The sequence below is a fragment of the Homo sapiens genome, chromosome 5 (genome assembly GCF_000001405.40).
Source record: "Homo sapiens chromosome 5, GRCh38.p14 Primary Assembly".
NCBI lineage: Eukaryota > Metazoa > Chordata > Mammalia > Primates > Hominidae > Homo > Homo sapiens.
The window spans coordinates 43,241,309-43,257,198 of NC_000005.10; the positions used below are offsets into that span (position 1 = coordinate 43,241,309).

Here is a 15,890-nt window from a genome sequence, read left to right on the forward strand (position 1 = left end):
TATTGGTATTTTTCTTTTCTTTTTCTTTTTTTTTTTTTTTGAGACGGAGTCTCGCTCTGCCTTTAGGCTGGAGTGCAGTTGTGCTATCTCGGCACTCGGCACTGGGTTCTCGCCTCCGCCTCCTGGGTTCAAGTGATTCTCTTGCCTCAGCCTCCTGAGTAGCTGGGACTACAGGTGTGCACCACCACGCCCAGCTAATATTTTGTATTTTCAGTAGAGACGAGGTTTCACCATGTTGGCCAGGAGGATATCGATCTCTTGACCTCGTGATCCCCCACCTCAGCCTCCCAAAGTGCTGGGATTACAGGAGTGAGCCACCGTGCCTGGCTGGATATTGGTATTTTTAAAATCAATTTGTAAAATTCTTTACTTAGAAAATTGTTTATTTTTTATTTGTTTATTATATTTGTTGGAAAGTTTTCCCTATCAGGTTATCATTTGATTTTTGCCTGTCTGTTTATGATACTTTTGGGCAAACAGAAAATTACAATTTTATGTAGTCAAATTCAATGTTTTCTTTAATGGCTTTCGCTGAGATCATAAAAAAATTTCTGATTCTTTTCTAGTATTTCATGATTTTGTTTATTTTACATTTACTTAGATGATTTATTTGGCACTTATTTTGAAGTAGGAGTGAGATAGGGGTTTGGCTTTTTCCCCAGTTGACTTGCTGGCTGTCCCAAGTTGCAATTCATCCTCAATGCAAACCACAGCAACATTTGTAAAAGTGTAACAAAAACACTTTATCTGATCTAAATGGAAGATTAACTGTCTCCTCGACCACTAAGGCAAGACAATTGGTTCAAGACCGTTTTGCAAGAAGTTTCATTTGTAGGTGTTAGGGTACGTAATTCAAGACAGAGACTGATCATATTTGGCAATTGTACCTGTGCCCTCCCTCTCTGTTGAATTGGGAAGGGAGGGAGAGGAATTCCTGGGAGGCACCTGAAGTCTCAAACTCTACTGTAAATCCCAGGGCCTGAATAGAGCTCAGGATATAGACCCCAAATCAGGAGAGTTGGGGAACAGGAAAGCAGAGAACAAGCCCTGAAGCAGCAGCTGGGCAGGAGATGGAGGGGAGCAGGTGCAGAGAGAGGCAGGAGGCCTGGTGCCTGTGGGGAGCTGATTCTTTCAAAGGGGCAGGGATGGGGGAGACTTGCATTTCGAAGCAGTTCTGTCACAGTTCTCAGGGGGATGATGGACTTTGGACTAAGCTTTTACCTCCACAAGAAGATGGGGCCAGGAATTCTAATAGCTAGTAAAGGGAGCCCAAATCTTAAAAATGTGGACTGAAATAAACTGAGATAGTTAAATTCTAGGATAGTGTTAGTAGTTAAAAAACAAAAATATTTACCTCTACTAAATCTTACCTAATTGTAATGGTGGATTAATTGGTAAATTAGTTCATTCCTTCTTCAACAAACTTTTATCAACTACTGTGCAGAACTCCCAGAGACAGAGGGAAGAGTAAAGCACAAGTTCCTGCCCACCTGGTGCTTTTTTTTTTTTTCAGATGGCGTTTCACTCTTGTCGCCCACGCTGGAGTGCAATGGCATGATCTCAGCTCACTGCACCCTCTGCCTCCTGGGTTCAAACAATTCTCCTGCCTCAGCCTCCCAAGTAGCTGGGATTACAGGTGTGCGCCACCATGCTTGGCTAATTTTTGTATTTTTAGTAGAGATGGAGTTTCACCATGTTGGCCAGGCTGGTCTCAAACTCCTAACCTCAGGTGATCCACCCACCTCAGCCTCCCAAAGTGTTGGGATTACAGGCTTGAGCCACTGTGCCCGGCGCCCTCCTAGTGCTGATGTAGTTGTGGCCCAAGTACATTAGTGACAAGGACAGCACAGTAATGAGGACACAGAGCCAGTAAGTTCTTCAGAGAGTCTGTTAGAACACAAAGTGATCAAAGTGATCAAAAGTACTGCATTCTATGGAAAATCTATATTTTTCTTTTTCCTTAGGTTAAGCTAAAGTTTCTTGCAGAATTACTACTTCATTCTAGTCTGTCATAAGCTGCATGGTGTTTTTCTGCCAGGAATCTGGGGAGATCTAGTGCCACTTGACCTTCACAGAGATTCTTAACCTGATGGGTTTCAGAATGTCATCTTAAAATTGGATGCAAATTGTATGGGTGAGGGTTTTTTTTTTTTTCCTCCTGGGGATAAAGTCATAGGTTTTGTTAGCATCTCAAAGGAGTCTGTGAGCCCAGGATGATTAAGAATCAGTGATTTTGGCTGAGTACAGTGGTTCACACCTGTAATTCCAGCACTTTGGGAGGTAGAGGTGGGTAAAGAAAAGGAAGAAGAATCAGTGACTTAGATTTTCTTCACTCTAATTAAGGACCTTTACCTTTTTTGTTTGTTTGCTTTGCTTTGTTTTTTTGAGACAGGGTCCGGCATTGTCACCCAGGCTGGAGTACAGTGGCTTGATCTCAGCTCACTGCAACCTCCACTTCCTGGGCTCAAGCCATCCTCCCACCTCAGTCTGTAGGTGTAGCTGAGACTACAGGTGCACACCCTGCTAAGGGGTACACCACCACACCCTGCTAGGAGGTACAACACCACACCCTGCTAAGGGGAACTTTATCTTAAAAATGTTTTTAAAAAACATCCTAATTGGTCTCTAACCTAGAGATGTGCTTAGTTACTGATACCTGGTCCCTTTTAAGCCTGTGTTCATCATCCTTCTTCCAGATTCCTTTCTCTCTATCCAGAAATAGGAGCAGTACTGGGCATCAACCTCCTCTTTACTTCCCTTATTTATGTTTATTTGGCAACCCCATACTTAACCTTAAGTATAAGCTTAGGAAGCCTTATTTATACTTAATTGTAATAATGTGATATTATTGAGCAGAGTTGGAAATCCATACTTCCAAGGCAGTCTCTCATGTTTTCAGTCAAATTTTTGGTTTGGAATGCTCAAGTCCAAAAATCAAGTTTAACACATATTTACTTAGTAAACACTTTCTATATGTAAGAACTTATACTCCATTTTGAAGGAGAGAGGAGGTGAGCAGGACATACCTACAAGTCAAAACCAGTTCCCACCTTCACTGAGATGGGACATTTTGGAAAATGCACGAAGTGCTGTGGGAATTCAGAGAGGAAGAGAGTATTTCCTGCTGGAGAGTGCAGAAAAAAAACATCCCGATGACATCGTAGGTGGGCAGCATTTCTTGTCACTGGCAATGCTGTAAACCCTCCTTTTCCACATCTTCAAAATAAGGTGCTGGGCCTAGAAACTGACACCTGCTCAGAAAAATTCAAAAAGTGAATGTAGGAGGAAAAATCAGCCTTTGTCATAAAATGACATAGGAAGAAAGAGTGGAAGCAACTAGTATAGGACAAGTTGTGCAAGAACATGAAGTAGTAAAGGAGATAAAATATTATTATTTGAATAAATATGAGAAATTTTGAAAACCATTAGTAATCCAGAATCTTTCATCTTTGCTATCATATTATTTTTAAAATTTGGTTTTAAAGCAACACAAGGCAATGTGCATATTTTCTTAAACTTTAAGAAATAGAAAAATTGTTTTGCTAGAAATATGTACGGACCTTAGGGGCTTTTCTAAAATGTAGGTTGAGAGGTGTGTGTATATGCTCTTTTCTTCTTACTAGATCACATGTAATCAAGCATCTACTACTGATATGAGTCATAAATTTGTGGGGTACTTTTAGATCAATGCTTACAAAGCAGTTGCACATTCATTACAAATCCTGTACAGTACATTAGCATAGGCTAATAAATTTCTTACTCTCTATTCTTAGGTTGAACCAGCCAAATTTTCGAGACAGCTCACGGCTTAGAGGAAGGTTCATCTAAATAAAGGCCGGCTAAAGTGACATTGCAGGGATTAAATCCTTCTTTGGCTGCCTGTGTGACCAGAAGGCTTATTTGCAAGTTTCTTCTTTCCTGGGGTCCAGATTATTAGGTCTCCAGCGCCCTGCAGCTTGACAGAAAGAGAAGCATGAAATGAAGGTCAGAGATGAGATCCCGCAGCAGGGACGTGGGGGCCTCCCAGGGGCATTTACGCACCAGAGTGCAAGATTCTCTGGCCATCAAGGGAAATAGCAAACAGAAGCCTTTGTCCTGGGGCACAGCCACCTACCACAAAGCATCAGACTCCACGTCTGGCCAGAAAGTTCCTGGAGTCCCATCAGGCCAGTGGGTATGTAACATGTGCCTAATTGTACAGCTAGAGCCTGCAAGTTCAACGTGAGGGAAGGTGGGAAATGTCTTGAGTGAGGCGAGCAGCTCCTGGCTGGGCTGGGCAGACTCAGCTACCACGTTCACTGCCTTCCTCTCACTAAAGCCGAGAGGGAGGCTGCTCAGCTCTCAGGAAAACTCTTTTGAACCCTGGGCACCTGCTGTCCTCAGTTGGCATCTCCCACCCTCTGAGCCTCTTCTGCTCCTGCACAACCTGCCTCTTCGCTGAGATGGAGACGTGAGCCCCCGTGGACGATGACTGCAGTGTATATGAATGGAGGTGGCCTGGTGAACCCCCACTATGCCCGGTGGGATCGGCGCGACAGTGTAGAAAGTGGCTGTCAGACCGAGAGTAGCAAGGAGGGTGAGGAGGGACAGCCCCGCCAGCTGACGCCCTTCGAGAAACTGACACAGGACATGTCCCAGGATGAGAAGGTGGTGAGGGAGATCACGCTGGGGAAACGGATAGGCTTCTACCGAATTCGAGGGGAAATCGGAAGTGGAAACTTCTCCCAAGTGAAGCTTGGGATTCACTCCCTAACCAAAGGTAGGATCCGACTTCCCAAGGGTCATCCCTGGCAGTATTGGGACCTAGTGTAGGAAAGGGGTTAGGTGGCCAGGGCCAAGGAAGCAAGTAAAGTGACCTCAGCAGAGCCCCTGCAAGGCCCACATCCTGTGCCAGCCGCCTTCTGTGGTCTTCTCAGTTAATTTTCACAGTAACCATGTGAGGTCAATATTTTTTTCCATTTTGCAGATAAAGAAACTGAGATCCAAAGAAGGCAAATGTGTCTTCAGTTCCATCTTAGAGGTTTTTGACTCCAAAAACCCTTCCACCATACCATGCAGATAAACCCACTCAAACATGAGAAGAATCTGTCCTCTCCGGTGAGGCCCTTGAGAAGTGGAGTGGAGCGTGGCTTGGAACCAAGCCACCTCATCTCCCAAGCCACCTCATCTCCCAAGCCCATATTTATAGTTTCCATTTACATTTGTGTCTCAGTAACAATGGCACAGTGCGGCACAGGAGATCCCCCCGATGGGCGCTGTCTCTGGATAGCAGTGTCCAGTTTCCCTTCCATCCAGAGGCTGCGACTTCTGTCATATTTGAGAAAAAGGGATTTGATCTCAGAACCTTTTCTGTTCAGTCCACCCTGCCCTAGCTCTCATTGTTTGGCTCCTCACTCCCCATTTGCTTGGCTACTGGAAACTTTGAGATTCTGGACTAGCAGCGCCCAGCACTTTGGCCTCAGGGAGAAACCATATGGAGAGCCCAGCACCCTTCTGCTGCTCTGACCCCACTGTGGGCACTTCCCCAAGGTACCTGTAACTTAGCAGAAGTCTGGGGATTATCATAAGGGACTTACAAGACAGAAAAAGAACACTTTACAGCTCGGCATAATTTACTCAGTCCTAAAACCCATGGACTCTACCGTCTCCCTAGAGTCCCTGATTGACATTTTCTCTGCTTGGACTCAGCCAGCCACCATGTCTCCAAGGCCCCTCTTTTCTTATATTAGAGTTGTCTTTTGCTTCCTTTTCTTCTCCAACCCCCAATCCCATGCCCCTCCAATCCCTGTTGTTGGCCTTTATAGAAAAAGCTCCACATACATGTTTGCATACATGTACCTCCCCACCGCAACTGACCCACACACTCCCAAGTCACCGGAGTTTCACGTCTTCTATACTCTTGCTCTGAAGCCTGTGTATCTGGGTTCATGTCTTCACATCTTGGCTACTCTGCTTACTCATCTGGGTAAATTACAATACTTGTCTGAGCCTTAGATACTTCATTTATAAAATGCAGCCAATAACAGTGCTTACTTCATACGGTATCATAAGGATTAATAAGTGCTCAACAAATGTTAGTTAGTTGCTTAATAAGCCTTGCCTTGCCTTGCCTCTGTGCAACCAAAGATCAACTAAAGTATCTTTATCAGAAGTTCATTCCTGCCCATCCCAATACACAAACTGAGATCAATGCAGCTGCCATGCCCTACAGCCATAGTTTTCAACTGACTGCACATTAGAATTACCTGGGAAGGTTTAAAAGAGAATTAGTGCCTAGAACCCACCTTCAGAGCTTCTGATGTGATTGGTCTAGAGTGGGACTGGGCATGGGTAGTATTTGAAAACTCTCCAGGTGATTCTAACTAACAACATGTAACACTAAGAAATACTTGCCTACAGCAACTTGCACATACTGCAGACAGCTTTTAAAATAGTACTTTTTTGGTAGTTGCCACAAATGGGTAATCTAAGTATTATTTGTATTTTAAAATCAATTATGAGGTATTGTGTCAGGTTTCCATGCTACGTTTAACTTTCAAATTTCATTTCACTTGAGAGAATATTCATTTATTATTCATTTAGGTGAACAACAGAAGCACTATATTAGGCCTTGGGGGATATAAAGATGAAATAGATACAACCTTCATCCTCAAGGATAAGGGAAGAGAAGTTGTGTACAAATAAATATAATACAAACCAGAATTTGAAAAACATAGAAGAGAAAAGCTATGAGCTTAAAGGAAGGAAAGAGACTCTTCCACCTTAGGACTACGGTGAAAGGCTTTAAGTGAAGGTCAAATTTGAGCTACACCTCAAGGAAGGATAAGATTTTGGATAGGCAGTGATTATAGGACAGAGGAGGGTTAGGGGGTTAGTTAGAGGAGAATGTGAACAAACGCATTAATGTGGGGAAATGACATATAGTACAGTTACCCTAACAGTAGGGGAAGTAGGGTAAAGGGTTGGAAAACTTAGCTGTGGCTGAATCATAGGGGACTTTGAACGTTATCCAAGGATTTTGGATTGTTTTTCTTACAATGAAGACTTTAAAATTTTTGTGATTAGAATTGGGCTTTTGGAAGGTTAACCATATAGTGATGAGAATGAAGGTTGAAAAGCAAGAGATGCAGGAGACAGGGAGCTATCAGGAATCTATGGTGATGGTTCAGCCATAGGGAAGAATATCCTGAGCTAGGTGGATGTCAGTCAAAATAGAAAAGAGGAGGGAGCTGGTGATGCCAAAGAGAAGAATCTGGAGGATTGGTGTGTTAGTGTTTTCCAGAGAAACGGCACCAATAGAAAAGAGAGAGAGGGAGAGAGAGAGACACTTACAAGGAATTGGCTCACACAATTATGGAGACTGCCCCCAAGATCCACAGTCAGCAAGCTGGAGGCCCAGGAGAGCCAGAGGTATAAGTTCCAGTCTGAAAGCCAACAGACTCAAGACCCAGGAAGAGCCACGTTCAGCTTGAGTCTGAAGGCCAAAAAGACCAATGTCCCAGGTAAAGGCAGTCAGGCAGAAGCAGTTCCCACTTGCTCAGTCTTTTTTTTTTTTAAATTAATTTTAATTAATTAATTATTTTTGAGATGGAGTCTCACCTTGTCACCGAGGCTGGAGTGCAATGGCGTGATCTCAGCTCACCTCAACCTCCGCCTCCCAGGTTCAAGTGATTCTCCTGCCTCATCCCGAGTAGCTGGGATTACAGACATGTGCCACCTTGCCCGGCTAGTTTATTTTTATTTATTTATTTATTTATTTATTTATTTATTTATTTATTTGAGACAGAGTCTCGCTCTGTTGCCCAGGCTGGAGTGCAGTGGCAAGATCTAGGCTCACTGCAAGCTCCGCCTCCCAGGTTCATGCCATTCTCCTGCCTCAGCTTCCCGAGTAGCTGGGACTACAGGTGCCCGCCACCACGCCCGGCTAATTTTTTGTATTTTTAGTAGAGACGGGGTTTCACCATGTTAGCTGGGATGGTCTCGATTTCCTGACCTCGTGATCCGCTACCTCGGCCTCCCAAAGTGCTGGGATTACAGGCCTGAGCCACCGTGCCCGGCCCTTACTCAGTCTTTTTGTTCTATTCAGGTCTTCAACTGAGAAAACACCTGCACGACACACCCATAATAATGTTTAATGAAATGTCTGGGCACTACGTGGTTCAGTCAATTTGACACATAAAATAAACCATCAGAGTTGGTAACTGATTGGATGTAGAACTGAAGATGGAAGGATGGACGAAGGCAATGACCTTGCTTTAGTTGACTATGTGAACCAAAACAGGTGATGCCTTTAATAGGAATAGGAGAAAGAGCAAATTTGGGAGGGAAAAAGTTGAGTGAAAACACTGACATCCAGAAGGAGCTGTCTACTGGGCATGCTCCAGTCATGGACAAGGGCATGAGGTCAGACCAGGATTTGCATTGAGAAGATTGTAGAAATGGATGCAGTCACTGAAGGAGACTGTGGAGAAGGGTGATGAGCAACCTTTTTACACTTAGTAACTAGTTCTACATCCTAGTTGACATTTTATGTATGGATTAGTTTTTTTTTTTTTTTTTTTTGAGATGGAGTCTCGCTCTGTTGCCCACGCTGGAGTGTAGTGGTGTGATCTTGGCTCACTGCAAGCTCTGCCTCCTGGGTTCATGCCGTTCTCCTGCCTCAACCTCCCGAGGAGCTGGGACTACAGACACCCACCACCACGCCTGGCTAATTTTTTGTATTTTTAGTAGAGACGGGGTTTCACCATGTTAGCCAGGATGGTCTCGATCTCCTGACCTCGTGATCTGCCCGCCTCGGCCTCCCAAAGTGCTGGGATTACAGGCATGAGCCACCGCGCCTGGCCGGATTAGTTTTAAATATGCTAATGGAATCATTCACTGTTGCTCCATGAACACTATGATTTTTCAATGTCATTAAATATAGATTTTTAAAATATATTTATGTGTATATATTATCTATATATGTGTATTTATTATCTATACTCTCATCTTTTAAAGAGGACATATTGTTTCACATATAGCTGTGGCATAAATTCTTTAACTTAGCCACTATTGGTTAACATTTGGATCATTTCTAAAGTTTTGCTCTTAATTATAATGCTACAGAGATTATTCTTTTCCATACTTCTTTGCATATACGTATGATTTCTCTCAGCATACATTCCTAGAAGTTAGCTGTCTTGGTCAGAGGGCATGCATTGAAAAATTTTAACACACAGCACCAAAAGAGCAGCTTTTGAATCCTTACTCATAGAGTACATCTATCTGTAACTCAAATCTCACAGGGACTAATGTTGCTTTTCAATAGTCTAGAGCCAGCATGAAAGACAAAAGATGAAACACATAGAGCGATGAAAGGCCAAAAATCGAGACAGAAGATGTGATTTGGAAGGTTACAAGAGAAGTTGGATAAAGCCAAACAAGGAAAGGAATTTAGAAAAAAGTGTCCAATGCTGCAGAAGGGTCACAGAGCTACAGTCTGAGCAAAGGCTACTGCATAAGGCCAACTTTGAGAAGTTTCATACAAGTGTGGGTTCAGATGTTAGATTCCAATAGAAAGGAAGCAGGATGGGACAGTAGGAAAAGCGTGGACTTGGGGACCAGACAAATTTATCTGAAATACTCATTCAGTAACTTACTAGGCTTCTGACTTTAGGCATATTAATCTCTTTGGTCCTCAGTTGCCTCAGCTGTAAAATAGAGATAATGATTTTTAGAATTGTTGGGGAAATTGGAAATAATATATGTGAAGTACATGACATATAGTAACCACTCAAAATGGTAGCTGCCATTGCTATAACTTTACTTTTTAATTAATCTTATTTCAAAAAGGTATTTAATGTTATTACAACAATAAAAACCAGTATCACTTACTATGAATAGAAGGTGATGGTAAAAATAAGTACAATGCAAACAAATTAAAAAGCATTAAAGGAAAATTACAAGTAACAAAGTAATTTTTAAAACATGCTAACAATCAATCTCAGACTTTCTCTTTGCCTTAATTAGGAGAATTAAAGGAGAGCTGAAATGGGAATCATGTTTTTACGCTGTGATTCAGTGCTATTTAAGGCTGTTTCCACGCCCTAAAATCATTTCAACCTCATGAGTCTTAAAGGTTCCACTTTGGGAAGCACTGACATCATCTAGTCCTTCCATGTTTTACAAACGAGGAGATGGAGGCTCAGAAGAGGCTGTCCCAAGGTTTAGAACCTGTTTACAGGAATTCACATGGAATTGAGTACTCACATGTATTGAGTACAGGGGAATTCTATGGACCCACAGCAGGGAAGTAGGGCCGGGTCTTAAGATGATATTCTTTTGATCTTCACTTTCTCTGGGGCTGTGTGCTTTCTCATTTCTACTTTTCTTGATGAATTTGTTCCATCTTTATACCTCTTTCTGCAAAAAGGTTTTCCACACTTAATTATCAGAAGGTATATCATGGCCAAAAATGGTTGTTGCCAGTCCCACATCTACATAAACTCTCAATGTTATTGACCGCCTCCATCCCATGTGTTTCATTCTGTTTCAGTTCAAATTTTAAAAAGAAAGAATATACTTAATTACTAGCCAGCTGAAAATGAACTACCTTTGAGTCAAGGGCATGCCCGTGTCAGTGAGCTGTAACCCTTTGAGTCACGTGGGCCACTACTGTCTCAGCAGAGCCAAAGGTCCAAAGAAGTCTCTGGGAAGGGAGAAAATTGACAGACATATCCACCATAGAGACATTAGCTAGCTAAGCCGAGAAGTTTCTACAAGCCGGGAGCAAGACAGTGCCCAATTCTGTAGACAGGATATTATGTGAAAGGACAAAAAAAAAAGGTGGAATAATAATTAGTGTTTATATACTGACTTACTTCTCGGGTTCCAAAGACTTCTTGTCTGTTGTATTACAAAATTAACTTCAAACTTGTCCCCATGAGTTTCAGAGAGCATGGCATTTTCCCACTGTGTGGGTGTGGGTGGGTGCCTTGTGTGGCCTCACTGACATGCCCTCCTTATACCTAACCTGCTACAAAGTAGCTCTATTGTCAAAGAAACAGTCTCACCCGCTGGTTCTGGGACAGTATGTGCAAAAAGGGACAGGAAAATAAATAGCAGTTTGTACAAATATGGCCCCCACACCAAACCAACTTGCCCAGAATTGTCATCCGGTTTTCTAGGAATATAAGGACAGTTTGAATAAGATAATAGAGGAGATTCCCAGGAAAGCAGAGAGTTTCAGTGCCAGGAGCAGCTCCCAGGACAGTAGTCTAAAAAATTGAAAAAAAAAAAAAATAAAGAAATACAAAGCACCAAGTGCTCTGGATCTCTACAAAGGAGGCTCCAATATGGGTCCCTGCTGGCTGGGGTTTATTTTTATAGCTCACAGTTTGGAATTCCCTTGGGCTCTCCAAGCTGATAGTGAAGGTTGACAGTCATCATGAGCCCCCTTTTAGGCTGATTAGAAATTTCTCATAAGAGATGATACACTTAGCTTCTGAATATTTTATGTCCCATCTGTTGTCACAAACAAAAGAAGTGGCAGCGAATGTGGGTGTTTTTTTCTGTTGCTGCCCTTCTGACTTCTTCCTTCTGCTACTCTAGTCTCATGTTTCTAGGATCCTTTCTTCCTCCCACTTTATTTATCTATTTATCTATTAATTCATTCTTTCCTTCCTTCCTTTTTTTTTTTTTTATCTTTTGAGGAAGAGTTTTGCTTCATTGCCCAGGCTGGAGTGCAGTGATGCGATCAAAGCTCACTGCTGCCTTGGACTCCTGGGCTCAAGTGATTCACCCACCTCAGCCTCCCAAAGCACTGGGATTACAGGTGTGAGACACCATGACTGGCCTTCATTCCTTTATATATATATATAATATAATATATAATGTAATATATAATATAATATATAATATAATATATGTGTGTGTGTGTGTGTGTGTGTGTGTGTGTGTGTGTGTGTGTAAGCACATGCCTGATAAGGAACTTACAGCAGTTTAACAGAGGCAGACAGGAAAAAATTGATGAGTGCTGTCCAGAGTAAGGCAGCAAGAATGTGCTTACCTGTGCCCCGTGGATCCAGGAAGGGTCTATTGAGCAGGAAAAGCTTGCAATGGGTCTTGAGGTCTGAGGAGCAATTTCACAGGAGAAGGAGGAAAGAGAACTCCAGAAAGAGAGATAGGATATAAAGTACATGGAAGCATGAACCAGTGTGGGGAGTATTTGGAGATTTAAAAGTAATTCAGCAAAGCTAGAGCATGAGGTGCACCCACAGAGTCATGGGAAAGAGATAAGGTGGATGGGGCTTGATCATGGAAAATCTTCTTGCATATCTGGATTTTGTCATTTAGGTATTGGAAAGCTACTGAAGAGTTTTTTTTTTTTTTGAGACGGAGTCTTGCCCTGTCACCCAGCCTGGAGTACAATGGTGTGATCTCTGTTCATTGAAACCTCTGCCTCCTGGGTTCAAGTGATTCTCCTGCCTCAGTCTCCTGAGTAGCTGGGATTACAGGCACACGCCACCATGCTCGGCAATTTTTTTTTGTATCTTTAGTAGAGATGGGGTTTCACCATCTTGGCCAGGCTGGTCTCGAATTCCTGACCTCGTGATCCGCCCGCCTCAGCCTCCCAAAGTGCTGGGATTACAGGCATGAGCCACTGCGCTCAGTCGTTTAGGAGCTTTAAGCAAGCCATTAATGCAAGTGATTAATATGATCTTATTTCAGTGCGGAATGTGAATTGAAGTTGGAAAGTAAGGAGAGTCAAGGAAGTCAGAAAAAAATGTTAGTCAAATGGTCCAGATGGATGATGTTGTTCATCTCAACTAAGGAGAAGTGGCAGTGAGAATGGAGAGAAGAGCATGTATTTGAAAAATGTCTTAGGATATTGAAAAACCTTGTGATCAATGGTATGGGTGAGAGCAGGACGGGACATGGGAGAGGAAGAATTGACGATGACTCCCAGTTTCCAGTTTTAATGCCTTACCAGTAAATAATTACAGGAGAAGTGGATTTGAGAGTAAATATATGGAAGCACTGACTTGGAGGTATATGGAATTCATGAAATGAATGGGTCTAGCAGCTTTCTTGGAGCCCAAGAGAAAGTATGATACATAAAGATTTGAGGCTTAACAAACTCTGGGATGTAGTGACATCTTGGGAGTCCTAGTTACAAGCTCCTTGGTGTCAGATACTATATCACATTGATCCTTAAAGTTCCTCCATGTGTGTTATAAATAATAAACACTCGACAAATATTTGGTGAGTTAAGTTAGTATAACTTCTCATGAAAATCCAGGAGTGGTGGAGGAAGAAATATTCGAGGGAGCAATGCATAGCAGCACCTTCTGGTAGGTGCTGTATGCTGTGATCTCCCTGGAGGACAGGGCTAGAGCACGAACTCAGTCTGTAGCAGAGCTTCATAAAGATAGCCCAATGGTTTTGTCGTTTTGCTTTTTCTAGAGATGAAGTCTCAACTATGGTTATCCAGGCCGTTCAAGAACTTCTGGGCTCAAGCAATCCTCCTGCCTCAGTTTCCTAAGTAGCATGGGGGACAGCTATGCACCACTGCACCTGACTGCCCACTGGTTTTAAAAATTGATTCCCCCCTCTTGAATACATTCATTAAAATAGCAATTCAAAATTGTATTTTCTTACTTTAAAAATGGTTAGTTAGTGATTTAGGGAATTCACCCTAAAAATAAATCATATATTGGAAATACTACAACCAAAAAAATGTTCATTGTCGTGTTATTTATAGTGTCGAGAACTAGTAATAACTTATGGGATCCAATGATATAGGAATGGTCAGGTAAAGCATATACACTGGGCAGAAGATTCCATAGCCATGAGAAATCATGATTATGAAGACTCTGTGGTAACATGGAAGATGGGCAGGACATGAGTGTAAGTGAAAAGCCAGGTGCAAATGGAGCGCACACTATTATGATAATACTTACTCCAGGTTCTTCAGTGAGATTATTCACTCAGCAAATACTTGTTGAGCACCTACTATGCAATAGCCACTATTCTAGAGACTGGTGATACAGCAGTGAACAAAATAGACAGCAATCTCTGTCCTTATGGAACTTACACTCTAGTGAGAGGGAAGCCAGACAAAAATAAATGTGTAAAATATTCATTGTATTATGTAGCGATAAGTGATAAGAAAGAAAAGAGGGCCGGGCGCGGTCGGTCACGCCTGTAATCCCAGCACTTTGGGAGGCCAAGGTGGGTGGATTATGAGATCAAGAGATGGAGGCCATCCTGGCCGACATGGTGAAACCACAATTCTACTAAAAATACAAAAATTAGCTGGGCATGGTGGTGTGCACCTTTAGTCTCAGCTACTCAGGAGACTGAGGCAGGAAAATCGCTTGAACCCAGGAGGGGGAGGTGGCAGTGAGCCAAGATCGTGCCACTGTACTCCAGCCTGGTGACAGAGCCAGACTCTGTCTCAAAAAAAAAAGAAAGAAAGAAAGAAAGAAAGAGCAGGAGGGGAGATAGAAAGCATTGAGGATGACAGTTTTTAGATAAGTTGGCCAGGACAGCCTTACTGAGGAGGTAATAATTAAACTGAAAGAAATGAGGGAAATGGCTATACATGGGGGAACTCCATCAAGCAGAAGGCGTAGCAGGCGTAAGAGTGTCCAGATGGGAGATGCCTGCAGTACTCTTGAAACAGCTGAGGGGAAAGGGCAGAGAGTAACAGGGAACAGATTGTGGAGGACCAAGTTTGTCAAAGTAAGAAGTTTGGCTTTTCCTGGGATTTTACAGGAGCCATCAGAAGGAACTGGGGATTTCACAAAGGGAACCAGGGATTTCCTGGGATTTCACAGGAGCCATCAGAGGGAACTGGGGAGTGACATGATCTGGCTTATGCTTTAACAGTATCACTCTGGCAGCTTTGTTGAAAATAGACGCAGAAGGCAAAAAAAGAGAGATCAGTTAGGAGCCTGTTGTATTAATCCAGGCAAGAGATGAAGGTGGTTTGGACTAGGAAGGTAGTAGTGGAATGCTGAGAAGTGGCTGGAGCTTGGCGGTATTTAAAAGGCTAAAGATAGTAAGATTTGCTAACAGATTGAAAGTGGAATATTAAAGAGAAGAGTCAAATACTCAAAAGGTTAGGTAAACACAAGAACAGTTTACACTGACTGAAATGGGGAAGATTGTAGGAGAAGCAGGTTTGGGTCAGGAGAAATCAAGAGCTCAGTCTTGAACATGTTATGTTTGACATGCCTATTACACATTTATGACACTACAGAGCAGACGTTGTGAGTGCCTCCCCCATTCCCCCTTGGGCCTTACCATTTCAGTGCTTGCAGGACTGACCTTCAATGGCTAGTCTCTCTGTCTCTCTGCCTCTGGGCTTTCTCTAGCCATTGGAGCCTCCTCTGCATGCATGGTAGCCCAGAAGTACAGAATGCACTTCCTGGTGGAGTGGCCAGCAACCACTGACTGGTAGAAGTTAATGTATAAATACTCCAGTTCTCTCACTCTCCTAATAATGAAATTCAGGCATAACTCTTAGCAGGATTCACTGGACACTTGTTTAATAACACTGTCTATGGGCTGCCTTTCTTGTCTCACTTCCCCATTCTTCTACTAGGGTTTTCTAGGATCACCTCCCTCATAAACTGCTTGCACTTGAACCTCTGCCTCAGAGTCTGGCTCTGTCCGAACCCAAACTAAGACGACACCCAAGTGAGCAGGGTATTTATGCATATGGAATCACCAAGGAGGTGATTGTAGAGAAGAGGTCTAAGAACTAAGCCTTCAGGTATCCAGCATTGAAAAGGAGGCTAGGGAGGTGAAAAGGAGGCTAGGGAGATGAACACAGCTAAGGAGTCTTAAATGAAGTGACGAGAAGTAGGAGGAAAGCCAGGAGTGTGGGTTGTCCTAGAAACCAA

General features: G+C 42.8%; 1 protein-coding gene across 2 annotated transcripts in view; it reads left to right on the plus strand.

The window, feature by feature from the left end:
* The window catches only part of NIM1K (NIM1 serine/threonine protein kinase), an 88,626-nt gene that overhangs the window by 49,084 nt on the left and 23,652 nt on the right, over positions 1-15,890 (plus strand). For both annotated transcript variants that reach the window (NR_072980.2, NM_153361.4), the window contains exon 2: positions 3,774-4,759. Coding sequence is in view for 1 of the 2 variants with exons in the window: in NM_153361.4 (NP_699192.1) it covers positions 4,468-4,759 (292 nt within the window). In the remaining variant the exon portion in view is untranslated. The remainder of the gene's footprint in view (positions 1-3,773; positions 4,760-15,890) is intronic.